The 24,753-nt window shown below is 61.9% G+C and overlaps 4 protein-coding genes and 3 non-coding genes across 15 annotated transcripts in view, besides 37 other annotated features; 4 read left to right on the plus strand and 3 right to left on the minus strand.

Moving 5' to 3' along the window:
- Positions 1 to 5,083, plus strand: part of DOT1L (DOT1 like histone lysine methyltransferase) — a 68,646-nt gene extending 63,563 nt beyond the window's left edge. For 5 of the 7 annotated variants that reach the window (NM_001411141.1, XM_011528359.3, XM_047439514.1 and 2 more), the window contains one exon: positions 242 to 5,083. In NM_001411141.1, the coding sequence (NP_001398070.1) occupies positions 242 to 852 (611 nt within the window). In that variant the 3' untranslated portion in view covers positions 853 to 5,083. The remainder of the gene's footprint in view (positions 1 to 241) is intronic. The other 2 variants (NM_032482.3, XM_047439515.1) reach the window with 1 other exon arrangement.
- Positions 2,486 to 8,834, minus strand: PLEKHJ1 (pleckstrin homology domain containing J1). Of its 3 annotated transcripts, none has more exons than NM_001300836.3 (6): positions 8,660 to 8,834; positions 8,428 to 8,495; positions 8,267 to 8,333; positions 6,655 to 6,745; positions 6,503 to 6,566; positions 2,486 to 3,117 (listed from the first exon to the last, which is right to left on the minus strand). In NM_001300836.3, exons 1-6 carry the CDS (start codon positions 8,751 to 8,753, stop codon positions 2,668 to 2,670), a joined length of 834 nt encoding a protein of 277 aa, NP_001287765.1. In that variant the 5' UTR covers positions 8,754 to 8,834; the 3' UTR covers positions 2,486 to 2,667. The 3 variants fall into 3 exon arrangements, with proteins under 3 accessions (NP_001287765.1, XP_016882417.1, NP_060519.1); XM_017026928.2 differs by lacking the exon at positions 2,486 to 3,117 and adding an exon at positions 5,658 to 6,410 and having other exon boundaries at positions 8,428 to 8,438; NM_018049.3 differs by lacking the exon at positions 2,486 to 3,117 and adding an exon at positions 5,658 to 6,410.
- MIR1227 (microRNA 1227) lies at positions 6,567 to 6,654 on the minus strand. The gene has a single exon (NR_031596.1). It is a non-coding gene; the product is annotated as a microRNA 1227 (primary transcript).
- Positions 7,059 to 7,638: an enhancer, noted in NCBI's record as "H3K4me1 hESC enhancer chr19:2234553-2235132 (GRCh37/hg19 assembly coordinates)". NCBI's record gives its function as "activates a minimal SCP1, AML or CMV promoter by ChIP-STARR-seq in primed H9 embryonic stem cells {active_cell/tissue: H9 hESC(primed)}" and the evidence as "EXISTENCE:reporter gene assay evidence [ECO:0000049][PMID:30033119]".
- Positions 7,641 to 8,249: an enhancer, noted in NCBI's record as "H3K27ac hESC enhancer chr19:2235135-2235743 (GRCh37/hg19 assembly coordinates)". NCBI's record gives its function as "activates a minimal SCP1, AML or CMV promoter by ChIP-STARR-seq in primed H9 embryonic stem cells {active_cell/tissue: H9 hESC(primed)}" and the evidence as "EXISTENCE:reporter gene assay evidence [ECO:0000049][PMID:30033119]".
- Positions 8,275 to 8,904: a silencer, noted in NCBI's record as "silent region_9774". NCBI's record gives its function as "represses an Ori minimal core promoter by ATAC-STARR-seq in GM12878 lymphoblastoid cells {active_cell/tissue: GM12878}" and the evidence as "EXISTENCE:reporter gene assay evidence [ECO:0000049][PMID:35858748]".
- On the minus strand, positions 8,334 to 8,431 carry MIR6789 (microRNA 6789). Its single transcript, NR_106847.1, has one exon. It is a non-coding gene; the product is annotated as a microRNA 6789 (primary transcript).
- Positions 8,858 to 9,466: an enhancer, noted in NCBI's record as "H3K27ac hESC enhancer chr19:2236352-2236960 (GRCh37/hg19 assembly coordinates)". NCBI's record gives its function as "activates a minimal SCP1, AML or CMV promoter by ChIP-STARR-seq in naive H9 embryonic stem cells {active_cell/tissue: H9 hESC(naive)}" and the evidence as "EXISTENCE:reporter gene assay evidence [ECO:0000049][PMID:30033119]".
- Positions 9,045 to 9,094: an enhancer, noted in NCBI's record as "active region_13666". NCBI's record gives its function as "activates an Ori minimal core promoter by ATAC-STARR-seq in GM12878 lymphoblastoid cells {active_cell/tissue: GM12878}" and the evidence as "EXISTENCE:reporter gene assay evidence [ECO:0000049][PMID:35858748]".
- On the plus strand, positions 9,329 to 21,160 carry SF3A2 (splicing factor 3a subunit 2). The gene is made up of 9 exons (NM_007165.5): positions 9,329 to 9,406; positions 15,887 to 16,049; positions 17,049 to 17,120; positions 17,238 to 17,284; positions 17,951 to 18,060; positions 19,258 to 19,307; positions 19,387 to 19,527; positions 20,099 to 20,167; positions 20,272 to 21,160. The coding sequence occupies exons 2-9, from the start codon at positions 15,924 to 15,926 to the stop codon at positions 21,049 to 21,051; spliced, it is 1,395 nt and encodes a 464-aa protein (NP_009096.2). The 5' UTR covers positions 9,329 to 9,406; positions 15,887 to 15,923; the 3' UTR covers positions 21,052 to 21,160.
- Positions 9,515 to 9,614: a silencer, noted in NCBI's record as "silent region_9775". NCBI's record gives its function as "represses an Ori minimal core promoter by ATAC-STARR-seq in GM12878 lymphoblastoid cells {active_cell/tissue: GM12878}" and the evidence as "EXISTENCE:reporter gene assay evidence [ECO:0000049][PMID:35858748]".
- Positions 12,237 to 12,974: an enhancer, noted in NCBI's record as "OCT4-NANOG-H3K27ac-H3K4me1 hESC enhancer chr19:2239731-2240468 (GRCh37/hg19 assembly coordinates)". NCBI's record gives its function as "activates a minimal SCP1, AML or CMV promoter by ChIP-STARR-seq in naive H9 embryonic stem cells {active_cell/tissue: H9 hESC(naive)}" and the evidence as "EXISTENCE:reporter gene assay evidence [ECO:0000049][PMID:30033119]".
- Positions 14,675 to 14,969: an enhancer, noted in NCBI's record as "tiled region #2271; HepG2 Activating DNase matched - State 5:Enh". NCBI's record gives its function as "activates a minimal TATA promoter and a strong SV40 promoter by Sharpr-MPRA in HepG2 cells {active_cell/tissue: HepG2}" and the evidence as "EXISTENCE:reporter gene assay evidence [ECO:0000049][PMID:27701403]".
- Positions 15,188 to 15,385: a silencer, noted in NCBI's record as "fragment chr19:2242682-2242879 (GRCh37/hg19 assembly coordinates)". NCBI's record gives its function as "represses an EF-1alpha promoter that drives an FKBP-Casp9 reporter gene in an ReSE screen in K562 erythroleukemia cells {active_cell/tissue: K562}" and the evidence as "EXISTENCE:reporter gene assay evidence [ECO:0000049][PMID:32094911]".
- Positions 15,843 to 16,420: an enhancer, noted in NCBI's record as "H3K4me1 hESC enhancer chr19:2243337-2243914 (GRCh37/hg19 assembly coordinates)". NCBI's record gives its function as "activates a minimal SCP1, AML or CMV promoter by ChIP-STARR-seq in naive H9 embryonic stem cells {active_cell/tissue: H9 hESC(naive)}" and the evidence as "EXISTENCE:reporter gene assay evidence [ECO:0000049][PMID:30033119]".
- Positions 18,085 to 18,585: an enhancer, noted in NCBI's record as "H3K4me1 hESC enhancer chr19:2245579-2246079 (GRCh37/hg19 assembly coordinates)". NCBI's record gives its function as "activates a minimal SCP1, AML or CMV promoter by ChIP-STARR-seq in primed H9 embryonic stem cells {active_cell/tissue: H9 hESC(primed)}" and the evidence as "EXISTENCE:reporter gene assay evidence [ECO:0000049][PMID:30033119]".
- Positions 18,839 to 19,916: an enhancer, noted in NCBI's record as "SacI/NheI fragment for -3068 to -1921; contains putative AP2 and NFkB binding sites". NCBI's record gives its function as "mediates response to cyclic AMP" and the evidence as "EXISTENCE:reporter gene assay evidence [ECO:0000049][PMID:12554789]".
- Positions 18,839 to 21,837: a promoter, noted in NCBI's record as "SacI/AvrII fragment for -3068 promoter". NCBI's record gives its function as "cyclic AMP responsive promoter" and the evidence as "EXISTENCE:reporter gene assay evidence [ECO:0000049][PMID:12554789]".
- Positions 18,839 to 21,910: a biological region, named in NCBI's record as "AMH 5' regulatory region". NCBI's record gives its function as "regulatory_interactions: AMH".
- Positions 19,215 to 19,716: an enhancer, noted in NCBI's record as "H3K4me1 hESC enhancer chr19:2246709-2247210 (GRCh37/hg19 assembly coordinates)". NCBI's record gives its function as "activates a minimal SCP1, AML or CMV promoter by ChIP-STARR-seq in naive H9 embryonic stem cells {active_cell/tissue: H9 hESC(naive)}" and the evidence as "EXISTENCE:reporter gene assay evidence [ECO:0000049][PMID:30033119]".
- Positions 19,772 to 21,806: a promoter, noted in NCBI's record as "StuI/AflII fragment for 2 kb promoter". NCBI's record gives its function as "drives expression in the gonads" and the evidence as "EXISTENCE:transgenic organism evidence [ECO:0001131][PMID:1331774]".
- Positions 20,047 to 20,076: a response element, noted in NCBI's record as "estrogen response element; -1780 to -1751". NCBI's record gives its function as "estrogen response element" and the evidence as "EXISTENCE:reporter gene assay evidence [ECO:0000049][PMID:2325025]".
- Positions 20,055 to 20,068: a protein binding site, noted in NCBI's record as "estrogen response element". NCBI's record gives the evidence for it as "EXISTENCE:nuclease protection assay evidence [ECO:0001106][PMID:2325025]".
- Positions 21,443 to 21,457: a response element, noted in NCBI's record as "VDRE (vitamin D response element)". NCBI's record gives its function as "mediates response to vitamin D and calcitriol" and the evidence as "EXISTENCE:reporter gene assay evidence [ECO:0000049][PMID:19056816]".
- Positions 21,443 to 21,457: a protein binding site, noted in NCBI's record as "VDRE". NCBI's record gives the evidence for it as "EXISTENCE:protein binding evidence [ECO:0000024][PMID:19056816]".
- Positions 21,443 to 21,457: a protein binding site, noted in NCBI's record as "VDRE". NCBI's record gives the evidence for it as "EXISTENCE:protein binding evidence [ECO:0000024][PMID:19056816]".
- Positions 21,558 to 21,837: a promoter, noted in NCBI's record as "-269 promoter". NCBI's record gives the evidence for it as "EXISTENCE:reporter gene assay evidence [ECO:0000049][PMID:10677509, PMID:10993829]".
- Positions 21,610 to 21,619: a protein binding site, noted in NCBI's record as "distal SF1 site". NCBI's record gives its function as "positive regulation of promoter activity" and the evidence as "EXISTENCE:protein binding evidence [ECO:0000024][PMID:10677509]".
- Positions 21,616 to 21,633: a protein binding site, noted in NCBI's record as "-206 to -200 FOXL2 site". NCBI's record gives its function as "positive regulation of promoter activity" and the evidence as "EXISTENCE:protein binding evidence [ECO:0000024][PMID:24973035]".
- Positions 21,628 to 21,837: a promoter, noted in NCBI's record as "-210 promoter". NCBI's record gives the evidence for it as "EXISTENCE:reporter gene assay evidence [ECO:0000049][PMID:9815658]".
- Positions 21,641 to 21,673: a protein binding site, noted in NCBI's record as "MIS-175". NCBI's record gives the evidence for it as "EXISTENCE:protein binding evidence [ECO:0000024][PMID:9815658]".
- Positions 21,660 to 21,665: a protein binding site, noted in NCBI's record as "distal GATA site". NCBI's record gives its function as "positive regulation of promoter activity" and the evidence as "EXISTENCE:protein binding evidence [ECO:0000024][PMID:10677509]".
- Positions 21,674 to 21,701: a protein binding site, noted in NCBI's record as "SOX-BS". NCBI's record gives its function as "synergizes with Nr5a1 to positively regulate promoter activity" and the evidence as "EXISTENCE:protein binding evidence [ECO:0000024][PMID:9774680]".
- Positions 21,699 to 21,731: a protein binding site, noted in NCBI's record as "MIS-117". NCBI's record gives the evidence for it as "EXISTENCE:protein binding evidence [ECO:0000024][PMID:9815658]".
- Positions 21,725 to 21,745: a protein binding site, noted in NCBI's record as "SF-1-BS". NCBI's record gives its function as "positive regulation of promoter activity" and the evidence as "EXISTENCE:protein binding evidence [ECO:0000024][PMID:9774680]".
- Positions 21,754 to 21,759: a protein binding site, noted in NCBI's record as "proximal GATA site". NCBI's record gives its function as "positive regulation of promoter activity" and the evidence as "EXISTENCE:protein binding evidence [ECO:0000024][PMID:10677509]".
- Positions 21,768 to 21,781: a protein binding site, noted in NCBI's record as "-55 to -49 FOXL2 site". NCBI's record gives its function as "positive regulation of promoter activity" and the evidence as "EXISTENCE:protein binding evidence [ECO:0000024][PMID:24973035]".
- Positions 21,769 to 21,783: a protein binding site, noted in NCBI's record as "SRYe site". NCBI's record gives the evidence for it as "EXISTENCE:protein binding evidence [ECO:0000024][PMID:7985018]".
- Positions 21,771 to 21,910: an enhancer, noted in NCBI's record as "active region_13667". NCBI's record gives its function as "activates an Ori minimal core promoter by ATAC-STARR-seq in GM12878 lymphoblastoid cells {active_cell/tissue: GM12878}" and the evidence as "EXISTENCE:reporter gene assay evidence [ECO:0000049][PMID:35858748]".
- Positions 21,806 to 21,837: a promoter, noted in NCBI's record as "-22 to +10 basal promoter; hMIS Inr". NCBI's record gives its function as "basal promoter" and the evidence as "EXISTENCE:reporter gene assay evidence [ECO:0000049][PMID:10993829]".
- Positions 21,806 to 21,837: a protein binding site, noted in NCBI's record as "hMIS Inr". NCBI's record gives the evidence for it as "EXISTENCE:protein binding evidence [ECO:0000024][PMID:10993829]".
- AMH (anti-Mullerian hormone) lies at positions 21,828 to 24,578 on the plus strand. Its single transcript, NM_000479.5, has 5 exons — positions 21,828 to 22,249; positions 22,842 to 22,984; positions 23,157 to 23,265; positions 23,354 to 23,513; positions 23,604 to 24,578. Exons 1-5 carry the CDS (start codon positions 21,838 to 21,840, stop codon positions 24,460 to 24,462), a joined length of 1,683 nt encoding a protein of 560 aa, NP_000470.3. The 5' UTR covers positions 21,828 to 21,837; the 3' UTR covers positions 24,463 to 24,578.
- MIR4321 (microRNA 4321) lies at positions 23,144 to 23,223 on the plus strand. The gene has a single exon (NR_036207.1). It is a non-coding gene; the product is annotated as a microRNA 4321 (primary transcript).
- Positions 23,151 to 23,210: a silencer, noted in NCBI's record as "silent region_9776". NCBI's record gives its function as "represses an Ori minimal core promoter by ATAC-STARR-seq in GM12878 lymphoblastoid cells {active_cell/tissue: GM12878}" and the evidence as "EXISTENCE:reporter gene assay evidence [ECO:0000049][PMID:35858748]".

The following is a 24,753-nucleotide window of genomic DNA, read 5'->3' on the forward strand; positions in this document are numbered from 1 at the left end:
CAGACAGGGCGGAGAGGAGCCGCCGGGGGGAGCGGCCTGGCCCTGGGGCTGCTGCGGGGCGGGGGGCCGGAGGGCGGAGGGCGGGCCACCACGAGCCTGGCCGAGCCGCTGCTTGTGCTTGGTGCCCGCACACGCCTGGCGGCGCCGTTTCGCTTCCCTTTTTGTGAGCCTGCGGCTGCTGCTCTGCGCTTGCCTGGATGCTGCCGCTTGTTGAAGCTGCGTTTTTCTCTCCTATTTGCAGGTGTCTTTAACCACGCGGTGCCCTCCGCCTCTGCTCATCCGTTTGGAGCCCGTGTCGGCCGCGGGGCTGCATGTGGCAGCGCCACACTGGGCCCGAGCCCGCTGCAGGCGGCGGCCAGCGCCTCGGCCTCTTCCTTTCAGGCCCCGGCCTCGGTTGAGACCCGGCCGCCCCCTCCGCCTCCGCCTCCGCCTCCCCCGCTGCCCCCGCCTGCGCACCTGGGCCGGTCCCCCGCGGGGCCGCCCGTCCTCCACGCCCCCCCTCCACCTAACGCCGCCTTGCCTCCTCCCCCAACGCTGCTGGCCTCTAACCCTGAGCCCGCGCTTCTGCAGAGCCTCGCGTCCCTCCCGCCTAACCAAGCTTTCTTGCCCCCCACCTCTGCTGCCTCTCTGCCGCCTGCTAACGCCTCTTTGTCTATCAAGCTCACCTCCCTCCCGCACAAGGGCGCCCGCCCCTCCTTCACGGTGCACCACCAGCCCCTGCCCCGGCTGGCCCTGGCCCAGGCCGCGCCCGGGATCCCACAGGCCAGCGCCACGGGGCCGTCCGCGGTGTGGGTGTCCCTCGGCATGCCGCCTCCCTATGCCGCGCACCTTTCGGGGGTTAAGCCGCGATAAAGACCTTGCTTAGCTAGCAGTGCGTATTGTGTAAGGTAAGGCCAGAGCCCTGCGCGGTGGCTCACTCCAGACACTGAACTGTCCTTCCTTTGGCAGAGAAGACGGCCACAGGGCTCGGCAGAAGTTCCGGGGGTCCTGAGGAGGGAAGAGGGAGAGAGCCAGGGAGACCAGGGAGATGGTCGCGAGAGGAGGGACTACAGGACGGGCACCAGCCATGGAGTGGCCTGAGTGTGTTGGGTTCCAGCTGCCCGCAGCTGGGTTCCTGCGGTGACGCCGCAGGACTGAGGCCAGCCCTGGGGGCAGCTGTGCCAGCCCCTGTGGGCGAGGCTCACGGGGTGCCAGGCCAGGGGGCTGGGAGCTCTAGCTCCTAGAGCAGTCTCCAGGGCTCCATCCGCACCAGGCCCAGGTCACTCATGACGGGTGGCGTGGCTTGGTGCTGTTCCCCAGGCGCCCAGCATGTAGCAGGCACGGTGCCGGCTGCAGAGGTCCTGGAGAGCCAGGGTGGCTGGCTGGATGCCTCTGGTCGGGGCTGTCTGGCCAGTAGCCTCGGATGCCCTCATAGGGAGCCAGTGAAGCCCCAAGTGCCCTGCCTGCCTGGGGGCTGATGGGTTCCCGGCGGGGTCGAGAGGCAAGCTCTGTGCCCTGCGTGTTGAGGCCCCCTTGCTGGACACGGCTGATGGCCACACTGCCCTGTGGTCATGGCCCACAGCCGAGGGGCTTTCAGCTGCTCAGATGTCAGCACCAAGCTGGGCAGGTTAGTGTAGACGGTGCCCACCTTTGAGACCAGAAGGAAGTTGGAAGCAGGAGTGATTTTGATGATGTGAGGCCTTCAGGGAATGTCCTGTTCACTCCTCCCCCAAGAGGCTGTGGAGACTGTGGCCGCTGACCCCTGAGGGCAGTTGGCCACCCGTGCCCTCCAGGGACATGGCGTGCCTGGCGGCGTAGTGCAAAGGTGCCCTCTGCTTGCCCCTGGCCTTCTGCCTCAGGGGCCCCTGGGACACAGGCCTTCCTGGGCGAGTCCAAAGCCCACCGGGCAAGGAGAGGAGGACTGGGAGCCAGGAGCCAAGGCGGAGGCTGTGGCCAGGGCTGGTCAGCCTGGCGGGTCAATGCGGGCACCTGCGGGCTGGACAAGCTATGCTGGGTCTCTTAGGAGATGAGCTGCAGGTAGGGTGGCTTTAGCTGGACTCGGCTGTGTGTCTCCTTTGGAGGAAGGCTGGAGCTTGGCCGGCGTGTCCAGGTGTCAGGCTCCCTGGTCTGTCACGGGGCACGCCCGTCGTCTGTTGTGGTTAGAGGAGCTGGCACTATGCCTGTCATGGTGCTGGCCCCAGGTGGCGTGTGTGCTCGTGGGAGGCCTCGGTCCCCAGCCTGGGTGAGTGTTGGGCTCCCCCAGGCGCGATGGTAACCTCAGGCCGCTCTTCCCGCTGTGCCCTTCTGCAGGTAACTAGGATTTCTACCTCAACCGCGAGACCTATGCAAGGACGGTGTGGACCAACTCGCGCCCGCGGCATGGTGCCCGCCGGCCTGCCGGGCTCCCACCCCTGGACGGCAGAGGCAAGGACGGACGGGAGCTCCACTGTGAATCGGCGGCACGCGCCGCAGGAGGCTGGGACTGGTCCAGTTTGTACTGTCGATAGTTTTAGATAAAGTATTTATCATTTTTTAAAAAGTATAAACAATTCTGACTTATTTTATTCCATCTAAGTGGTAAAAGGCAACTTATTGAGAAATATAAATATCTATATATGAGAGCTCTATATAAAGACACGTGTCTGCAGGGCGGGCCCGCCAGCGGATTCGCCACAGCCTGCCCCGGTGCTATCTCGTCCCCAGGCCCGCGCCTGCCTCCACCCGCTTGGTGCTGACTAGACGCTGACAACGCCGAACCCCGTTCTCGGAAACGCCGCCCGGCCGGCTCCCCCGACGCGCTGCTCCCGTACCAAAGGCAGGCCCGTCGCCACCACATTCCTCGGAGGCCTCCCCGCGGCCTGAGCCCCTTCCTGAGCGCCCTGGCGCCTGCCCTGAGCTCTTCACCTTTACCCCGGCACTGTGAACCCCCAGACTGTTCACCCTCCGGGGCGTGGGTTGCGCCCTTGCATGTGAAGGGGCCTGCGCGGTGACGCAGCTGGCCATGTGCTGCGCGATGGTGCTGTGAGGACGGCGCGGGCACGTTGAACAAGTGCATTTACTTTTGTATTTCTCGGCTGTCCATGGCTCGCAGCATGCCCTGCGATGCGGGGCAGGCCTGTCGTGGGTCCCTTGGTGTTTCTGTACAGGAGAGAGTCACACTAATGAGTGGCAGTATTTTATAGAGATGTGATGAGAATTTATAAATTTCATAGATTTGACAGCTTTTATTTTTAGATGGTATAATGCACAGTGAAGAGGAAAGAAAAGCGAGGGGAAAAAACCTTATTTATTCAAACAGTGCACAAAATGGCCCCAGCGTCAGCCCCGACCCTAGACCCCTCAGTTGCAGCTCCCAGCAGCCCAGACAGAGCTGCCGGCGCCCCTGCCTGCCCCACATCCCTTCCTGTCAGGGCCACGCCTGGCACCCATCCCTTGGAGCCTGTGCTGGTTCTCCCAGCTGCTGTGGGTGTGCTGGGGCCAGGGTGCACTGCTGAAACCTGGCCTCTCTGGCCCTAGGCCCCAGGGTGACGTCGGCCCCCCACTCTGCAGCCTTGGCGGGTGCCTGGGACTGGGTGTGGAAGGAGAGGAGCTGAGGCCGGGGTGTAGCAGGCAGGCAGGGCCACTCCAGTGCTTCTGGAGCCCTGAGCAGTCAGGGCCTGGGTTGTCTGAGCAGTGGTGGCTCTGTGCCCTCCCTGGAGGATGGGATCTGGGAGTCTGAGCTCCCCGCATCTGGCCCTGGGCTGTGTGGCACTTGCTGAGCCCACCTTCTCAAGTGCTTGCTCCTGTGAGATGGCATCGGGGAGCCCCTTCCCCAAGGTGCCACAGATCCACCCTCCAGGGAGCTGCCAGCCCTGTGTTCTGGTTCCCAAGGGCAGGATGGACACACGTCACATCCCTACCACGTGGCCTCCAAAGGGAGCCACGGAGGAAAGGCTTCTGTGGTTGCTAGGTGGGGGAGTCCTGTGTGGGAGGGCCTGAAGACCCCTGCTTGTGCCTGGTGAGGGGGGTGCTGCCTCCCCCAGCCCCCAACAACCTCTCAGACCCCCACCCTCCAACATAGCTGAGTTCTGAAGATGGTGCTCCGGACCTGTCCTCTTAAGTGGTGCCCAGTGCCCTCCCCACCCCACGTTGGTGCTCTCAGCTAGAAGGTGCTGTGCCTCTGCCTGAGCCCCAAGCCCCGAGCCTGGCCTTCAGGACAGGCAGCCTGCTCTGTGTCGCCACGGGCCGGATACGCCACAGGGTTGATGGCAGAGACGGCCGAGTCCCTGGTCTAGAACAAGACACATTCTTTAAACACTGTATTACTTCTGCCTCCCTCTAGGTGACAGTGGCAGTCCGGGTGCCATCACGGGTCCTGCAGATGGCCATGCAGGGCTCCTGCCCACGCAGGCCACCGTATGTTCAGGACACGCACTGGGTCTCAGAGCCACTGGCCCAGGCAGAAGTCTCCTTGAGCCCACTGGGTCATATGCGTGTCACCACACGTGAACTAGTGTGGTGGCTGCCTGCGGACACCCTCCTGTTCTGAGCCCTGGGCCTGTGTTCTTCTCAGACACTCCCAGACTGAGGGGTGGTGTGTGGCGGGTGGCAGGGTGGCTGTGGAGACTGGGGATCTGGAGCCTGGTGCTGGCACCTGGCCTGAGTTTCCGTGGGCAGCTGGCGGGGACCTGTGCTGCTGCTGCTGACTGTGGGTGGGCGGGCGGCGCCTGGGAGTGGCTCTTGCTCAGGAATTGATAGGAACCCTAAAAACTAGGATACCCCCTCCTCGGCCCATGAGGCACGCACAGTGACTTATTTAAGACTTCCCCCTTAATTTATCTGCCCCCAGGATGCGTCAGTCTGTTCAGTGGTCAGCAGGCCCCCCACCCCCCGCCGACTGCCCTCGCCATCGTGGTCAGACCCCCCTCCCAACACAACACGCTGCTGGTCTGTGTCAGCCTTTGTAACGTGGGAGGCTCTGCCGTGTCTTCCGGGTGAACTGTATTTGGATTGCGCGCATTGTCACGGTCCGCCCCTGGGCTGCAGGCGCCCCTTCCTCTGGGCACCCCTGCATTCTGCATCCCCACCTCTAGACGCTGTAATAAACAGACTGTTTTCACTCGGACCTGGTGTGAATGGCAGCCTTTCTTCCAGGTGGCATGAGGCGTCTCCTGGCGGCCAGTGAGAGGCCCCGGCTAGTGTGTCATCGCCGAAACGGGGAGTGGAGGGCCTAGGGGTGCTCCTAGCAGAAGCTCCGGGGGCTGACACCAGGACACCCTGGCCTTGGGGAGGCTTATGAGGGCACCAGGCCACAGGCAAGGGGAGGCTTATGAGGGCACCAGGCCACAGGCAAAGTGCCTTTTGATGAACGGAAAACCAGATCTGCGACCCCAATGACATCGGCAAAGTCCTTTTCACATCAGATGGACCAAAGCCCGCCCAGGCCCCAGCCACACTCCGGGAGGGCCCGTGAATGCCAGAGGCAGGACCCCAGGTCACCACAGGATTCCTGATACCACACAGCAGCTCTGTTCTCCCCAGGCCTGGGTCCCAGCCTCCACCTGTCCTGGCTGGGGGTTCTAGCTCTCCCCTCAGTGCAGGAGGCCCAGCCACTGCCTCTCAGGACCCTGAGCCTTACTTCCCTTGGGTGGGGGCTCCCTGGCTGCCCCTCCCCTCTCCTTCACTTCACCGCCATCCAGTGTGGAAAAGAGGTACCTTTATTTGAACAGAACAAGCACCCTGGCCCCAGGGCAACCACTTCCCCAGGTGCACAGCCAGGGCCCTCCTGTCTGCAGGAGAATTCACAGCTGGTGTGGGACTCAGCCCCTAGGCCATTCACAGCTTTGTCTGGCTCTGTACATTCATTCAGCACGGGGCAGGGGGGCCATGCCACCAGCCTGGGGGCTCACCAGGCCCCTGGATGCACACAACTCAGGCAGGGCACCTGTGGGAAGGCGCATATCCTGGCGGCAGCAGCACGTGGCACCAGGTGCCAGGCCAGTTAGGTGGATCCTGGGGCCCCAGGGAGCGCAGCTTGCTGGGCAGTTTCATAAAATGCAGCCCCTGCCCACACCCACCTGGCTTCAGGCTTTGGATGTCTCCAAACCAAAAACCTCCCACTGAAAATCCAGGTGTGATGGCCGGGTGTGGCGGCTCATGCCTGTGATCCCCGCTACTTGGGAAGCTGAGGCAGGAGGATCACTTGAGTCCAGAAGGTCAAGGTCACAGTGAGCTGTGGCACCACTGCACTCTAGCCTGGGCAACACAGTGAAACCCTGACCCAAAAACCAAAAACCAAAACAAAACAGATCCAGGCATGGCCAAGCGATTCATGGCTGGGCAGGGCCAGTCCCGTCCCGCTGCACGCTGACCACCGTGCCCTGCGCTCACGCCTGCAAGCCACTCAGCTGGAACCTGGCCTCCTCGGATATGCCGAACTGTTCCAGGGGGTCCTGTGGGGAGGACGGGTGGCCATGAGCCAGGGCTGGAGGACTGCCTCTGCCACCTGCAGCCCCACCCCGGCCCTCTGCAGCCCTGCACACACCTTGCCCGTCACCTTCCGGATTTCGTTCCTGTAGAAGATGAGGCTTCTCCGCATGAACTCGTAGCTGGGGAAAAGGGTGGCACGGGGTCAAATGCCCGCTCTGCATGGCTGCTGTGCCCACCCCAGCAGTGCCCACCACCGCCTGGCCCCACCTGGCCCGACGCAGAGCCTCCATCCACTCCTGACACTGCTCCTCGCTGCTGCACTCAAAGTGATACTTCCTCTCAGGGTCCTCAATGAAGCCTGGGGATGGAACACCTGTGGTCGGTCCTACCCACAGCCACAAGCAGCTTCCTCTTGCCATTGCCCATAAACTGTCCCTTCTCTGGCCCCCACAAAGATGTGTTCATGTCCTGACCCCCCAGAACCCATGAGTATGGCCCTGTATATAAACAGGGTCTTTGCATATAAACTAGTCAAAATGAGGTTGTCGCCAGGTGCGGTGGCTCATGCCTATAATCCCAGCGCTTTGAGAGGCCAAGGTGGGAGGATTGCTTGAGCTCAGGAGTTCGAGACCAGCCTGGGTGACATGGCAAAATCCCCATCTCTACAAAAACAAAAATTAGCCAGGTGTGGTGGTGGGGCCTTGTAGGCCCAGCCACTCCGGAGTCAGAAGTGGGAGGACTGCTTGAGCCAAGGGGGTTGAGGCTGCAGTGAGCTGTGATCACGCCACTGCACTCCAGCCTCGGAAACAAAAGATCCTGTCTCAAAAATAAAGAGGGCCGGGTACGGTGGCTCAAGACCGTAATCCCAGCACTTTGGGAGGCCGAGGTGGGAGGATCACCTGAGGTCAGGAGTTCGAGAGCAGCCTGGCCAATATGGCGAAACCCCGTCTCTACTAAAAATACAAAAATTAGCTGGGCATGGTGGCGCGTGCCTGTAGTACCAGCTACTCGGGAGGCTGAGGCAGGAGAATCACTTGAACCCGAGAGGGGGAAGTTACAGGGAGCCGAGATTGCACCACTGCACTCCAGCCTGGGCGACATACCAAGACCCTGTCTCAAAAAATAAGCAAATAAAATAATAAAGTGAAGTAAAAAGGGGTTGTCAGGGTGGGCCCTAAATTCTGCTTGGCGTCTGTGTAGAAGGGGAAATGTGGGCACAGACGTGATGCAAGGAGGACAAGGTGACGCTTCCACAAGCCAAGGAACCTGGAGGATACTGGCCACCACTAGGAACTGGGAGATTCCCCTCGGCCTCAGAAGGATTCGGCCCCACCCACACCTTCATCTAGGATTTCTGGCCTCCAGAACTGTAGAGAATGTTTCTGATATTTAAGCCACCTGGCCTGTGGAATTTTGACAGCCACTCTGGGCAAACTAGCAGGGACTCCATCTTTCCCCGCAGAAGGGAATCTCTTAAGACCCAGGAGAACACCCCCCTCTCACTCCTCCTACCCCCACCTGGGATTTCCAGCCCGGGGCCATATAACAATGCTAGACCCATGCTACTCTTGGCAGCTGGGGAAACGCTTTGGGTGGGGCTGGCCCACCTGCCCTGTAAGTACAGCCTGGGCCCACAGGGAACAAAGAGCAGAGTCTGGGAGGGACCCAAGCTTAAGTGGACTCGGCAGGTGGGAAGGGTGGTGCCCGCCAGGAGAACTTGACCTTGAGCTGCCCGTGGACAATGCACTCTTGTGTTTGAGGAGGGTGGCGCCAGGCTGGGGACACAGAGGAGACCTTGGGCGCCCGGGGAGGGGAAAGTGCGGCGCTGCGGGTGCCCCGGGCTGCGGGAAGCGCCGCTGGCTTCCCTAGCCCCACTCACTGATGGAGAAGGTGCCGGGCTCTTCCCGGACGACTCTGCAGCGCTCCAGCAGCAGGGCTCCGACGGGCTGGAGGAGACACGGGCGCCGGGACGGGGCAGTGAGCACCCGGCCTCCGAGGGGCCCAGCCTGGGACCCGCCCGCGCGCCCGGGACGCCCCTACCTCGGCCTCGTCTGTCCGAAAGTAGAAGAGGAAATTCACCACCAGCTTCACCAGCCGCCGCTTCAGCACTGCGGGCACAGCGCGCACTCAGGGGCGCAGGCAGCCCCCGCCCGGACCCCGGCCTCCCGTCCCCGGCGCCCCGACCCGGACTCCGGCCTCCGGCACCCCCGCCCAGACCCCGGCCCCGGCCTCCCGCCCCTGGCACTGTCTCGGTCTCCCGGGTCCCGCTCACCGCTGCCCTTCTTGGGGCCCCTCATGCCCAGCTCGGCCGCCATCTCGGCCGGCTGCCGGGACAGAGCCTGCAGCTCCTTCTCGTTGTACCGCATGGCTCCGCGGGGAACGGGAACCCGGGCCGCGCCCTCCCGGCCGCCGTCCCCGCTCAGGCTGGGGCCGGCGCCAAAAATGTCTCAGGGCGCAGACACGGAAGCACCCCCAGGGCTAGTGCGCCTGCGCACCTTGGGCCAGCCATGCCGCCCGCCTCCGCTGCGTGGCGCTGGCGACCCGTGGCTGCTGGCGTGGGCGGGGTACCGGTTGGTAGGAGAGACGGACCGTTGTTACATAACCATTAAACTGAAATAAACCGGACCAAGGTGGAACAGAATCAAGGCACCCCAGCGATGGCTGGCACCCCTTTCTAGAGCGGCCAGGCGCAGGCGGAGGGAGCGATAACGTCGCCCGGAGAGTGTCAGCCGCTCCCTCGCGAAAGTTGGCCCCGTGCGGCCGCAGCGGACCGAGGGTTCGTTGAGAGCGTTGTGCGCACGCGCAGTTTGCCTTCCAGGCCGCGCTTTCAGCCTCTCCCCCTCCAGCCTTTTCCTTCGCGCCTCGGGACCCTCTGACTCACGCCGCTGGGCGGGCCAGGCATGCGCACACCAGAGGGCCCGTCTCATTTGCCCCGGAAGTGCTTTCTTTGCCCGCCGTTCGCCAAACGAAGTCGTGGAGGTGGCGAAACGAGGAGGAGATAACGCGGCCTTGGGCTCTGGTGAGGAGTAGAGGCGGTTGAGGGCGGCGGCCGACGCGGACCGGGGGTTCCCTGGGGGACAGCGGACGTAGGAGAGAGGCGCTTGCGACAGGCCGCGGGCCGAGGGTGGGGCGGCGGCGTCGCTCCCCTCCCTCCTCCCGTGAGCGTCCGGCCTTGTGCATCCTGAGGCCCCGCGCTGGGCGGGCCTGGAGGGTCGGGCCCGCCAGGAACTCTATTTCCAAACTCCTGTTGGGAGGCCGCGCGCGGGGCCTCACGCCTGTAATCTCACTGCTCAGGGAGGCCTTGGCGGGAGGATCGCTTGAGGCCAGGAGTTCGAGACCAGCCTGGACAACACACCGAGACCCCCATCTCTACAAAAAATTTTAAAAAATTAGCCAGGAGTGGTGGTTGTACCTGTAGGCCCAGCTACTCGAGAGGATCGCTTGAGCTCGGAATGTCGAGGCTGCAGTGAGCCATGATCCCACCACTGCACTCCAGCCTGGGCAACATAGCGAGACCCCATCACTGCAAAAAAAAAAAAAAAAAAAATTAGCCGGGCGTGGTTGGTGACGCGCGCCTGTAGTCCCAGCTACTCTGGAGGCTGAAGCGGGAAGATCGCTTGAGTCCAGGAGGTCGAGGCTGCAGTGAGTTGTGATTGTGCCGTTGCACTCCAGCCTGGACAACAGAGCAAGACCCTGTTTGACAAAATAAAAAAGAAACAACCAAGATTCGTTGGGGTCGAATCGGGATCGCGGCTGAAATGGTTTCGGCCGCCTTCCTTGTAGCCGAGAACGCTTCTGTATGCTCATCTATACCTGTTAGTTGACTGGGGCTCTGTGATGTAATTCCTGTGAGCCTCAGTTCCCTTAAAATGGGAGTGACGGCTTCAACATCATGCCAAAGGCGACCAGAACACGTTAGCTGGCCCCATTTTGCAGGTGCACCCCGCTGTGACCGTTGTTCTTGTGTATCCTTGGACGACACCAAACAGCCAGGCGGAGCTCTGGAAAATAGGTTGTTGGCTAGGTTAAGGAGAGAACGGTGTTGCCACGAAAAACTAATTCCTTCTCAATGGTCTAGTCCCAGGTCCCAGAGGCCACTTTTCCTCAATTCTTAAGCTCATTTCCCCTGGTCGTCATCGGTTTTTTGTTTGTTTTGAGACAGGGTCTTGCTCTGTCACCCAGGCTGGAGTGAGTGCAGTGGTGCAATCACAGCTTACTCCAGCCTCAAACTCCCATGCTCAAGCCATCCTCCTGCCTCAACCTCTCGAGTAGCTGGGATCACAGGTGCTCACCACCATGTCCGGCGAATTTTTGTATTTTTTGTAGAGACGAGGTTTCGCCATGTTGCCCAGGCTGGTCTCGAACTCCTGACCAGGTGATCCACCTGCCACGGCCTCCCAAAGTGGTAGGATTACAGGCATGAGCCACTGCACCCGGCTAATTTTTGTATTTTTTGTAGAGATGGGGTTTTACCAGGTTGGCCAGGCTGTCCCCTGATCTTTACCTTAGTAAGTAACAGATTTCTTCATGGATTTATCAATTTGTAGACATCATCTGCTGATTTCTTGTCACGGCTGTTGAGATCTTCTCCCTCCCATCCACCCACTGCACCTTCACCTTCCATATCCTGAATGAGTTTATGTCATGAGCATAGTTGGTCATTGGTTGTGTTTTCTAAATAAGATGCAAAATATTGTTGGCTGCTAAAACAAGTAATATGTTCAGCTAGGCTTTTCTTGTACCATTCTATCTTCCCTTAAAGCTAATTAACTTTGTTTTTACCATGAGCCTGATTTTCTTTTACCTGCTGTTTGTTTTTTCCCCACAAAGCTCCCACCTCTCACACACCTATCAGTTGTATTTTGCATAGGTTTAAATAAATTGATCTCCCCTCACCACTTCCCTCCAAGACCCCCTTATCCTCCTCCTCCAAATGGGACTGGTTGTGCTCTGACCTGGAAGTGGAGCTGTTGTCCCAAACCTTCCTGTCCTTGCTCCCCTGTGCTGACCTCTGTTTCCAGTGTGGTCATCTCTTTCCCTTCATGCTGTCCGAGCAAAACTTCTGGGAGCTTTTGAAGAAACAGATGATTTTTTTCGGGGGGTGGGGGAAGTCCTTGATTGTCTGAAAACGAGTTTATTTACCCTCATAGTTAGAAGTTTGGTGGGGTATAAAAATCTAGATTGAAAATCTGTATTTGTAGGCCGGGCGTGGTGGCTCACGCCTGTAATCCCAGCACTTTGGGAGGCTGAGGCGGGCGGATGACCTGAGTTTGGGAGTTTGAGACCAGCCTCGCCAACCTGGCGAAATCCCATCTCCACTAAAAATATAAAAATTTGCCAGGCGTTTTGGCATGTGCCTGTAATCTCAGCTACTCGGGAGGCTAAGGCAGGAGAATGGCTTGAACCTGGGAGGTGGAGGTTGCAGTGAGCCAAGATCGAGCTACTGCCTGGGCGACAGAGCGAGAATCCGTCTCAAAAAAAAAAAAAAAAAAAGAGAGAGAAAAAAATCTGTATTTGCTCAGAACTGTGAAAGCATTGTTTTCAGTGCTGTTCTCAAAAGATCAGTTCCTATGCTGGTTTCTGATGTTTTCTGCTCAGTTGTCTTTCTGTCTAGTAGAAGCTTAACATCTTCCTTGGTGTCGTAAAATTTCCTGATTTCCTCATTTACCGGGGATCTTTTTATTTGCTGATCCTGGTGGGTGCTTGGTATCTGGACAGTTTGGTTCCTTTAGTCCTGGGTTTTGTTTTTGTTTTTAATTTTCTTGCTAATGTTCTTATGTTATTTCTGTGATAATATTTTTCCTGTTTTATTTTGTTGGGTGTTTTTTCAGTTCTCACTCTGGAATGTCCTCTAGGTTCTTGCTTTTCCTCCTGTTTTTTTAACTTTTGACTTTCCTTTATGAAAGATTTGTTTGGCTCAGCTTCCAACTCTGGTATGGAATTTTTTGTTTGGATCGTCCTGTCTGTATTTTTCAAGGGCTTTTTGTTTTAATTCAGCTTGTCATTCAGCTTCCTGTTCTGGGTTTGTGGTGCAGTGGCTTCCCCCGATAATGAAGGAGGGTGTCAGCGATCTCTTACTGGGATACCCATCAGTCTCTTTGTTCTCGGATGCGTGTGTTTCTCTTTAAGAACAAAGCGGCCGGCAGCTCTGTGTGAGCGCCACTTCTCATCCAGGGAGGTCAACTGCCCAGTGGCCTGGCAAGGAGCGGGCCTTTTCTTTGAGGTGTGGGGACCCTGAATGTCAGTATTTGAGAACTCTTCCTCTGGCGCTGTTTCCCCGGAAAAGACTCCTGGCCTCCCCCGGGGTGGGGGGCGTCCGTGCTGGGCCGCCTGCCACCTGAGCTGTGCGGAGGAACCGCCAGACTTCCCGCTGCCCAGGCGGCAGGTCGTGATTCAGTCCCCCCTTTTCAGCCTGACCCTGGACCCCCTTGCTCTGCTGGGCCTGTCTCTCTAACTCTAGAGGCCCTTTTATACCAGTTCTTCTGGGAATAAAGTTCTGATCTCCTCGAGGGTTGTGGGCGATCCGAGCGTGGGACCTTCCCCGGGGTGCCGCCCCATTTCAGCTGCTGAGGAGGGACAGTGTGGGTGTTCGGTGGCTGCGATGGCTTGGGTTCGGATGGTTTCTGGTTTTCGGATCAGAGCTTTACTTGGTGAGTGGTTGAGTATTGGTCTGGGTTTAGGTTTCAGTGGGCCAGACTCCACAGGTGCTCCCTGTGACAGCTGGAGCTTGTGTCCTGAGCCAGCCACTGGCCGCTGGGGCGTTCTGTCTGGCCAGTTTTAAGAAGTAACTTGGCTTGCCCTAGATGGATTTGAACTCTTGGCTTTGTTAGCATTTTGCCATCTAAGTTCCTTCTCCAAGTCCTCCCAGCCATCGTGTCATTAGAACGTTCTGGAAATGTCACTAAAATGTGCCCGGAAATAAGTGCATCAAGATAGATTGGTGGCTCTTGGTGTGGCCATCTGCACCTGTCCTGGCCCCAGAAGCTGTGCTGCCTCTTCCGCATGGAGGAGCAAAGCGCAGGTCGCTCCTGAGGCTGAGCTCCGCTCCTCCTGGGCCCTGGGTCCTCCGCAGACACGTCCCACCCACTGCTCTTCTCTCTGCCAGAAGCTGCCGGCCATGAGGACGCATGGGTGGGCGCTGTGGAGAGTGCAGGCTTGGGGGTAGAGACCAGTGATGGCTCTGCAGAGCTTAGCCTCAGAGTAGGGGCGTGGTCCAGGAGAGGCCACGACAGGGACAAGCAGGGCGTTCGCATGCTGTTGAATTCCTTCATGACGAAAGGAGCAGGTCGTCCTCCCGGGAGAGGGGAGCGCTTGATGACGCCCCGAGATCTGTGTGTGGGAGTGCCTCTCAGCACCAGGCCCCTCCTGGGTTCTTGGAGTGCATCCGTGAAAGAAGGCCGATTCCCTGCCTTCTCACACGTTCCCCCGAGCGAGGGCTTGGTTCGGTGCTGAGATGCGTGGAGGACTGTGGTTTCTGTGATGTGTGGAGAGGCAAGTGCGGCTGCGGCCTGGTGGGAGGCTGCTTGCTGGGCTCCCCACGCACGTCCCCTGATGTGAGTTTCATGTCACTTGACCAGGAAATGCTTGAATGTCCTCCAGAGAAAAATGAGGCACTTCATGAACCTGTCCGGGCGGCACCCACACAATCCTGCCCGCCTGTGGGCCGTCCGGAGACAGAACCTCCCAGGCAGCTGTAAGCTGTTGTGGCAGCAGGGACTGTAGGAGTTGGCGTGGCCTGCAGCTGACGGCGCCAGCATGGAGAGGGTGCAGTTCTCCCTGGTCCTGAAGAATGTGTGGCCAAGAAGCCCGAGGCGGGGAGGGTTCCTTGGGGCCAGAGGGTGGCGTTCCCAGCAAAGGACAGTCCTTCTGGTGTCACAGTCTCCTTTTTCACACTGGAATGTTCTTTGTTTTGTGAAGGGATGGCGATGGTCACAGTGGTGGTTTCTCGAAGTTTACGTGACAACATGTAAAAATGGGCATCTCTAGGTGGGCTTTTGTGACATCTGAACTTCTGATGGGGCAGCCGTGATACTGCAGTGAGCTGGGAGGTCCACCTCACCAGTTACCATGCTTGATCATTTTCATAAACTTGCCCAGGGAATAAAAACTGGTTGGGGAGGGCTCCTGGGCCCCCATAGAGTAAGGGGTGACTTCAGGCCCCACCACAAGTCAGCAGTACAGCTGGCCTGTCCCTCAGCATGCCCCTGCACACCTGCGGCCACTGTGGCCTGTCCCTCAGCGTGCCCCTGCACACCTGCCGCCACTGTGGCCTGTCCCTCAGCGTGCCCCTGCACACCTGCGGCCACTGTGCCCTGTCCCTCAGCGTGCCCCTGCACACCTGCAGACACTGTGACACATCACTGCAGACGCAGTAGTTCAGATGACACGGCTGTATCAGCTTCTGGTTCTGGGGTCAGAGTCCAAACAGTCCACAGGGCTCCATTCCTTCTGGAGGCTCTGGGGGACAACTCGTTTCCTGCCTTTCCCAGTGTCCAGAGGCACCTGTGTGCCTTGCCTCGGGGCCCCTTCCTCCCCATTCACAGCCACAGCGCAGCCTCTCTGACTCTCAGCCTCCCGCCTCCTCTCATGAGGTCACCCAGGATCACCTGCCATTTTAAGATCCTCAAGCCCACCTGCACATCCCTTTTCTGCCATGAGGGGACATGTTCACAGGTCCCAGGGATTAGGATGTGGACATCTTTTGGGGGCAGTGATTCACTCAGTCTCATGGGCCCCATCTCTCTGAGCTCACCCAAGACCCTTAAACCAGGGCCCGGGGCCAACATTGAGCAGGCAAGGGAAAGACTACCAGGAGATGAGAGGAGGCTGCCTGGAACTCAGATTTGCACAGAGCCTGAAAGGGCGTGGGAGACCTTGGCAGAGGCCTGCATCAGGAAGAGGATGTTGGGGACTCAGCAGAGCCCCCTGCGCCACAAGCAGATGTGGCAGATCTCCCAGGTGTTACTCAGTGAGGATGCGAAGATCAGTGTCCTCACTGATCTCCGCCTAACAAATTTACATCGAGCCCAAGAGATTAGGTTGGGACAAGTAAGCGTAGCCAACCAGAGAGGGAATTCAGAGGAAGGCGTGAACACTAGGGGCTTGGGCAGTCCGGGATGGCTTCCTGGAGGTGGTGACTCGTTTGTGAGATCTTGGTCTTGTCTTCCCTTTATGCCTTCTCTGGGCTCCCTATTACAATTTCAGGTCTCCAGGCCTTGGCACCCTGGGCTGGAGCGGCTTCCTCTCCATCCCTCATGCCTGGTCACTTGGAGACAGGCTCCAGCTTCCTTGTGTCTGTGCCTGTCCACAGTGGGCCTCAGCCTCCTGGAAGAGACTGGGTGCGCTATGGGGTGGCCCCCTCAGGGCTGGTTAGACCCTGGCGCTGGGAGTGCAGGGTGAGGGGCAGTCTCGAGGGCTCCAGCCCAGCCCGCCCAGGGAGGTCCCAGCAGCAGCCCCGAGTTCTGAGCCATCTTCCTCACTCTCCTCTTGGCCTCCACAGGTGTCTCCCAGTCTGCTAAAGCCCTAAGGCCATCACCATGGACTTCCAGCATCGCCCCGGGGGCAAGACCGGGAGCGGGGGCGTGGCCTCCTCCTCCGAGAGCAACCGTGACCGCAGGGAGCGCCTCCGGCAGCTGGCCCTGGAGACCATCGACATCAACAAGGTGGGCCAGCCACCGTGCAGCTGCCTGTGGTGGGTGCTGGGCTTTCCAGGGCAGCCCTGGAGAGGGTGCCAGAGGCTCTTCTTGGGCCTCCGCCCAGGCTGGGCGATGCAGCCCCGTGTCCAGACGCTCCCCTGTTGCCCCCGAGCAGCCACAGCTCCCATCTGTCCACCCCAGAGAGCAGACCCTCTGTGGCTCTGAGTCCCATGTGGACATGTTTTGTTCTGTCCACAGCCTTCTGTTTTGCATTATTTAATTTTCTGGGAGTGGGGAGAGCTGATGTCAGTCCAGCCAGATGTGGTGAAGGGCAGCCTTTGATTTTAGCTTGTGCAGAGGCAGGGGTGAGCCGAGTCCCCTCAGCACCGTGGACATCGGGGCTGGAGCACTCTTTGTGTACCCTGACATGCCCCACGGGCCTGGCCTATGGCAAGGGCTCTGTTACCGTCCCCGTCTTCCAGATGAGGTCATGGGTAGAGGGGGTGCCACAGCCGCAGATGGTGGAGTTAGACTTTGAACTCCAGCGTCTGAGACGAGATGTGTGCGCCCGGCTGCCCCAGCTTAGGGCCTGCAGATGGGCGGGTCTTTGGGTCTTCAGTGTAGCCCATTTGCTTTTCTTGTGCCTGTGTCTGCCTTGTGCCTACTGCTGGCGTGGTGGCGTGGGCAGTGGACGGCTCCCTGCCTCGGGAGTGACCGGCGGTGCTGTCCTGGCTGTGCCTCCCTCTGACTCAGAACCACCAGGAAGGTGGTGTCGGGGGCTCCCTGGGAACCCCCACTGCTCGAAGCCTGGCCCACAGCCCCAGGTGGTGACACCCGTGCTCACGAAGGCCTCCCGCTGGATCCCCCGTTTTCAGAAATGCTTGACCACTGTCAGCGGTAGCCATGCCTCTACAGAAGGGGGGTTCTGCCTCCATGCCTCTACAGAAAGGGGATCCCGCCTCTGAGGGCCTTGACGGCAGCAGGCCGCGATCTTCTGTCTAACGGGCCCCTGTTCTTCCCCTCCAGGACCCGTACTTCATGAAGAACCACCTGGGCTCCTATGAATGCAAACTCTGCCTGACACTTCACAACAATGAGGTGCGGCCTCTGCCTGGCTCCGGGCGGCTCGCGGCGGGCTGAGTGGCTGACGTCAGGGGGACCTGCCTGTGTCTGTCCGCCCGGCCTCGAGTCATGCGTGTTTCCTTTCCACTCCAGGGGAGCTACCTGGCACATACGCAGGGGAAGAAGCACCAGACCAACCTGTGAGTACCTCATGTCCCTTTGATGCCTGGTGCTCCAGCAGCCGTTGGCTCAAGTCTCTGTGAGCCTCGCGGGCCACTGCTCCACAGCCGGGGAGCCAGCCTGGCCTGAGCCTCCCTGGGCGCTTGAGTACGGTTCCTGGGGAGCATTAGAGAACAGAGGCATGGATGGCTGAGGCGGGCAGATCACTTGAGGTCAGGAGTTCGAGACCAGCCTGGCCAACATTGTGAAACTCCATCTCTACTAAAAATACAAAAATTAGGCCAGGCATGGTGGCACACGTCTGTAATCACAGCTACTATGGAGGCTGAGGCAGGAGAATCTTGAATCTGGGAGGCAGAGATTGCAGTGAACCAAGGTGCTGCCACTGTACTCCATCCTGGGCGACAGAGTGAGACTCTTGTCTTATTAAAAAAAAAAAAAAAGAGCAGAGGCATGGAGTTGTTGGAAGGGCCCCAGCCAGGGACAGTGAGGAGCATGACAGGAAGAGAACATGCCTGTCCTATCCCTGTCCTCAGCCAAACCCCAGGGCCCCTCCCAGGCCCCTGGCCCTCCTCATCTCTCAGCTTGTAGTGAGCTCCAAGGTCAGGGGGCTCCTGGCACCTGGGCCCATGGCTTTGGTGCCTGTGTGTGGAGGGGTCCCAGCAGCACCTCCATCCTGTCCGCAGGGCCCGGCGAGCAGCCAAGGAGGCCAAGGAGGCCCCTGCCCAGCCCGCGCCTGAGAAGGTCAAGGTGGAGGTGAAGAAGTTTGTGAAGATCGGCCGCCCGGGCTACAAAGGTGAGTCTGCCCGCAGCGGGGCCGGCCACAGCCGCTGCCGTGACATAAGTGTGTTCTTTAGTCTCCAGTGCGGGAGGTGCAGCCCTGATAGCCTCCTCCCTGAGCCACTGTTTTCCGGCCTTGGTGGCCGTCCCTCACCCACCTGCAGCCTCTGGCGTTGTGTCTGGGAGCTGTCAGGCTGGGCCCGATAAGCACCCATCTCACCCAGCAGCCCATTTCCCAGCTGAGCCACAGTCTGTGCCCTCCTGTCCGGGTCTTGTGGAAGCTTCTGGGAATTCTTGCCAAGCAAAAGAGTGGAAGTGGAGGTGTGGTGAGCCCTGGCACATCCCTCCGGTTAACCTTGAAGCCTTTGAAGGAGGACAGGGAGAAGCGGCTGTTAGAGGCAGCTCCTCCCGGACCCTCAGCAGTGGGAATGGCTAGAGGTGACCCCGGTTCAGAAAGCTGGGGAAGTGACCAGGGTGGAAGATAGAGACTTGTGTCCATAGGGTTCAGGAAGGCGGGCACGCTACCCAGCAAGTGTTCTTTACAGAAGGCGGGGACAGCCTGTGTGCCTGGCCTCCAGACAGAAGCCTGCAGGGCAGAGGTCCCGGGGCAGGTGCACCGGGTGGGCGAGGGTGGCTAGAGCGGCAGGCTCCTGGTGGGGAGGCCCTGACAGGTCCTGGGCTTGGGCTCAGGACGGTGAGGCGGCAGAGGGCTTGTGAGTGTGCGTGTCTGAGGCCGCATGGAGAGTGGCCGGGCGGCAGGCAGCCCAGCAGCCATTCTCGGGGTCCAGGCTGCTGAGCTCTGGCGGGAAGGGCATCCTCTCTCGCTCACCGTATACATGGTGTCAGCCCTGTTCAGGCGGCCCCGCTCGAATCCCAGAGCCAGGGTGCCGAGGGCCCCTCCCTACCCAGTGGCCCCAACTCCTGCTGGGTGGTATCCCAGCACCCCTGGTGAAGGGCTCTGGGGATTGGGACAAAGGAGCACCATCCTCGGTCCCTGCCTGAGTGACTCCGCAGGTAGCTCAGCTCTGGCGCACCTGTGCCTTCACCTATACCAGAATCCCAGAGCCTGGGCGGAGATTGTCTAATGGTTGCCAGAGCTGCAGGGCCTCCCCCGGGGTCCCGCTCTCGTTCAGTGGGTGGCATTAGCCTGCCCCAGGTTCCTCAGCTTCGGAGAGGACAAGCAGCCGGGACCTGAGAGCTTTCTGTGTTGCAGTGACCAAGCAGAGAGACTCGGAGATGGGCCAGCAGAGCCTCCTCTTCCAGGTGAGATCAGGGACTTGGGCGTGGGGGGCGGCCAAAGGCACCCAAGAGGCGGCTCTGCCACCCGGCCGTGTCCCTGCAGATTGACTACCCTGAGATCGCCGAGGGCATCATGCCACGTCACCGCTTCATGTCTGCGTACGAGCAGAGGATCGAGCCTCCGGACCGGCGCTGGCAGTACCTGCTCATGGCCGCCGAGCCCTACGAGACCATTGCCTTCAAGGTAGCGTGGCTGCGGGGTTCCCTGGGCCCCCTTGAGATGTGCAAGCCAGAAGGATCTGCATAGGCTGGGCAGGATGCCCCTCCCATCGGGCTTGGGGTCCCCTGGGCCCCCCCCAAGTCGGAGCCAGAAGGGTCTGCACAGGCCGGGCAGGGCACCTCTCCCATTGGGCTCTGCAGGAGGGCCTGCTTGGGCTCCACTGGGCCAATGAGAAGGGAGGCCGGCAGGGCTGAGCGCCAGGCCTGTGAGGCCTTTGCCAAGTGACCTCACTTCCTGGGCCAGGCTGCTGGAGGGCTTCCTACAGCCTGTCCCCATGCCTGGACAGGGCGGCCATCAGGAAACAAATAATACAAACGGTGACTGCCCAGGGAGGGGGCCAACAGCGTGCTAGCATTGAGGCCAGGTCTGTTTCACTCCAGAACTGAACCCTGTGCCCCACGAAAGTCTTACCAGCCTTCTCCTGGGCTCCCAGGGTAGAGTCCGGGCTGGGGAGGCTAGTGCCTCGGGCTCCCTGCCTGATGGTCGCCCTGAGGTCACAGGGACCAGGAGCCCTCTCTGTCCCCCGCCCTCCCAGGTGCCGAGCAGAGAGATCGACAAGGCGGAGGGCAAGTTCTGGACACACTGGAACCGGGAGACCAAGCAGGTGAGTGGCTCGCCCCGAGCCTGGCTCCTTCCCACCCAGCCCTGGCGGCCCTAGCCCTGCCCTAGCCCCACCCGTGCCTGCTGAACCTTTCTCCGTCTCTCTAGTTCTTCCTCCAGTTCCACTTTAAGATGGAGAAGCCCCCGGCTCCACCCAGCCTCCCTGCTGGCCCCCCTGGGGTGAAGCGGCCTCCACCCCCGCTGATGAACGGTCTGCCCCCTCGGCCACCGCTGCCTGAGTCTTTGCCACCGCCCCCGCCAGGAGGCCTGCCTCTGCCACCCATGCCCCCCACAGGGCCTGCGCCCTCAGGGCCCCCGGGACCACCCCAGCTACCCCCGCCAGCTCCAGGGGTCCACCCCCCGGCCCCAGTGGTGCATCCCCCTGCATCTGGGGTCCATCCCCCAGCTCCTGGCGTCCACCCCCCAGCTCCTGGCGTCCATCCCCCAGCCCCTGGGGTCCACCCACCAACCTCTGGGGTCCACCCCCCAGCTCCTGGAGTCCACCCTCCAGCCCCCGGGGTTCACCCACCAGCCCCCGGAGTCCACCCACCAGCCCCTGGGGTTCACCCACCAGCCCCAGGGGTCCATCCTCCCCCATCAGCGGGGGTTCACCCCCAGGCCCCGGGGGTGCACCCAGCAGCCCCCGCCGTTCACCCTCAGGCCCCAGGGGTGCACCCACCAGCCCCAGGGATGCACCCTCAGGCCCCGGGGGTCCACCCCCAACCTCCCGGGGTCCATCCGTCGGCTCCTGGGGTCCACCCTCAGCCTCCGGGAGTTCACCCCTCAAATCCTGGGGTGCACCCCCCAACTCCCATGCCCCCAATGCTGAGGCCCCCACTTCCCTCCGAAGGCCCAGGGAACATACCTCCCCCTCCCCCAACCAACTGAGAAGCTGCTCCCTCCCCCAGCAAGCCCAGCGCCAGGTGCTCTTGCCTTTTCCCACTGAGAGAAGGCTGCTCTTTTGTACTGCCCCCCGCTCATTAAACAGCCTCCCCCAGCCCTGAGTGCACTGATGTCCGCAGCGCCGCCCTACTGTGTCAGTGTGTGTGGGAGTGCCAGGCACAGCACCATCCCCCAGTTTGGGCCGACTGGGGAGGGCCTGGGGCCCGCCAGGAGACACCTGTGGGAGGCCTGAGAGATGGCTGTACCTTGGAGATGGCCTGGTGGAGGACAGACCCCACCAGCCAGCTAGGAGGGGATCTGGGGTCCTGTTCTGGGGAGGGAAGAGCAGACTCCACGATATCCTTGGGGTCTCCAGATAGCCCACCAGGGGTGGGGAGGGTGAGCAGGGACAGGGCGCCCCCACTGACTTGGGACCCTCCTCCTCCAGGCCCACACCTCAGCACCCAGGACATCTGGGCCCCCCGCCCCCAGCGCTGTCTAGTTTGGTTGCCTGGCCGTCACTCCCAGCCTGGTTCCCACTCCTGTGTCTTCTGGGGATGGCCCTCAAGGACGGCATGTTGACACATCAGGCCCAGCTCTATCACTGGGGAGGGAGATAGGCTGCCAGGGACAGAAAGGGCTCTTTGAGAAGGCCACTCTGCCTGGAGTGGGGGCGCCGGGCACTGTCCCCCAAGGTCGCGGCAGAGGAGATAGGGGTCTGTCCTGCACAAACACCCCACCTTCCACTCGGCTCACTTAAGGCAGGCAGCCCAGCCCCTGGCAGCACCCACGATGCGGGACCTGCCTCTCACCAGCCTGGCCCTAGTGCTGTCTGCCCTGGGGGCTCTGCTGGGGACTGAGGCCCTCAGAGCAGAGGAGCCAGCTGTGGGCACCAGTGGCCTCATCTTCCGAGAAGACTTGGACTGGCCTCCAGGCAGCCCACAAGAGCCTCTGTGCCTGGTGGCACTGGGCGGGGACAGCAATGGCAGCAGCTCCCCCCTGCGGGTGGTGGGGGCTCTAAGCGCCTATGAGCAGGCCTTCCTGGGGGCCGTGCAGAGGGCCCGCTGGGGCCCCCGAGACCTGGCCACCTTCGGGGTCTGCAACACCGGTGACAGGCAGGCTGCCTTGCCCTCTCTACGGCGGCTGGGGGCCTGGCTGCGGGACCCTGGGGGGCAGCGCCTGGTGGTCCTACACCTGGAGGAAGGTATGTGGGGCCCAGCCCCAAGCTTGGCACCGCCGTCTTCCTTCAGGTGGGCCGGGTCCTCCTAGGGAAGATCAGGGGCTGGCAGAGCCCCCACCCTGGGCAGGGAGGCTGTGGTCTTGTTCCTAGGACTGGGTTGCGGGTCCGTGGCCTGGAAGGTGGGCACCACACTCTGTCCTGTCCCCGAAGCCCAGCTCTTAGACTTGCCCCTGCCTCGGTGCCAGGGAGAGAGCTGCTGCCTTCTCCCCACCCCTGAAGACGACGCAGGGCTCGGGGCCAGTGGAACCCTTCTTCCCACAGCCCCAGCCTGTTCTCAGGGCCGCTGGCCTAAGATACTCCCTGCGGGGAAGGGGCTTCATCGGGCACCCCAACCCAGAGACCCCAGGGCGGCAGCCCCACCCACAGCCTCAGACGCAGCCCCTGCCTGCCCCTGCCGTCACCGCTCCCTGGCTGCAGGAAGGCAGCTAAGAGGGGCACCCTTGTCCCCCGCTTGAGGTCCCCTGCACAGTGGCCAGAGCGGCAGGGACAGATCCCAAAGATTCCCGGGGGGTGTGGCCTTCAATGGCTCAGGCGTCCCCTGCTGTCCCGGCTGCAGTGACCTGGGAGCCAACACCCTCGCTGAGGTTCCAGGAGCCCCCGCCTGGAGGAGCTGGCCCCCCAGAGCTGGCGCTGCTGGTGCTGTACCCTGGGCCTGGCCCTGAGGTCACTGTGACGAGGGCTGGGCTGCCGGGTGCCCAGGTACCAGGGAGTTGCATGGGGCAGTGCCCGGGCCGTGGCGGGGGGCATGGATTTGTTGCAGGGTCTGCAGTACTGAGAACAGCGTAGAACCAGTGGCGATGGGAGGAAGGGGACCGGTAGAGCGGGGCTGGGTAAGCCTCCATCCAGCCGGGCTGAGCCCTGGTCTCCGCAGAGCCTCTGCCCCTCCCGAGACACCCGCTACCTGGTGTTAGCGGTGGACCGCCCTGCGGGGGCCTGGCGCGGCTCCGGGCTGGCCTTGACCCTGCAGCCCCGCGGAGAGGGTAGGTCCGCGTGGAGAGGGACGGGGAGCCGGGTCGACTGCCCCCGGGCCCCCAGCCCCTGAGCCAGCCGCGTGCCCACCCACCGCAGACTCCCGGCTGAGTACCGCCCGGCTGCAGGCACTGCTGTTCGGCGACGACCACCGCTGCTTCACACGGATGACCCCGGCCCTGCTCCTGCTGCCGCGGTCCGAGCCCGCGCCGCTGCCTGCGCACGGCCAGCTGGACACCGTGCCCTTCCCGCCGCCCAGGTGCGCGCAGGCACCGGGACACGGGGCAGGAGCGGGCGGGGGCGGCGTGGCCTCGTGGCCGCTCTCAACTCCTCCAATTGCGGGTTCCAGGCCATCCGCGGAACTCGAGGAGTCGCCACCCAGCGCAGACCCCTTCCTGGAGACGCTCACGCGCCTGGTGCGGGCGCTGCGGGTCCCCCCGGCCCGGGCCTCCGCGCCGCGCCTGGCCCTGGATCCGGACGCGCTGGCCGGCTTCCCGCAGGGCCTAGTCAACCTGTCGGACCCCGCGGCGCTGGAGCGCCTACTCGACGGCGAGGAGCCGCTGCTGCTGCTGCTGAGGCCCACTGCGGCCACCACCGGGGATCCTGCGCCCCTGCACGACCCCACGTCGGCGCCGTGGGCCACGGCCCTGGCGCGCCGCGTGGCTGCTGAACTGCAAGCGGCGGCTGCCGAGCTGCGAAGCCTCCCGGGTCTGCCTCCGGCCACAGCCCCGCTGCTGGCGCGCCTGCTCGCGCTCTGCCCAGGTGGCCCCGGCGGCCTCGGCGATCCCCTGCGAGCGCTGCTGCTCCTGAAGGCGCTGCAGGGCCTGCGCGTGGAGTGGCGCGGGCGGGATCCGCGCGGGCCGGGTCGGGCACAGCGCAGCGCGGGGGCCACCGCCGCCGACGGGCCGTGCGCGCTGCGCGAGCTCAGCGTAGACCTCCGCGCCGAGCGCTCCGTACTCATCCCCGAGACCTACCAGGCCAACAATTGCCAGGGCGTGTGCGGCTGGCCTCAGTCCGACCGCAACCCGCGCTACGGCAACCACGTGGTGCTGCTGCTGAAGATGCAGGTCCGTGGGGCCGCCCTGGCGCGCCCACCCTGCTGCGTGCCCACCGCCTACGCGGGCAAGCTGCTCATCAGCCTGTCGGAGGAGCGCATCAGCGCGCACCACGTGCCCAACATGGTGGCCACCGAGTGTGGCTGCCGGTGACCCCTGCGCCGCGCGGACTCCTGCCCCGAGGGTCCGGACGCGCCCCAGCTCGCGCCCCTTCCCATATTTATTCGGACCCCAAGCATCGCCCCAATAAAGACCAGCAAGCAACCGGCTGGGGTGTCCGTGCGTGTTAGGGGGCCCGTGGGACCTCCCTTGCCGTCTCTCCTCGCGCACGGCCCGGGTCCGCCCTGTAGCGCTCGCTGTCTCTCCCCTGCCTGAAGCGCCCCACCACCGTCTTTCAGGCCCCGGACTTGGTGCCGGGTCCAGGCGTAAAGGAGCAGGTGACTC

Source organism: Homo sapiens, chromosome 19 (genome assembly GCF_000001405.40).
Source record: "Homo sapiens chromosome 19, GRCh38.p14 Primary Assembly".
Classification (NCBI taxonomy): domain Eukaryota; kingdom Metazoa; phylum Chordata; class Mammalia; order Primates; family Hominidae; genus Homo; species Homo sapiens.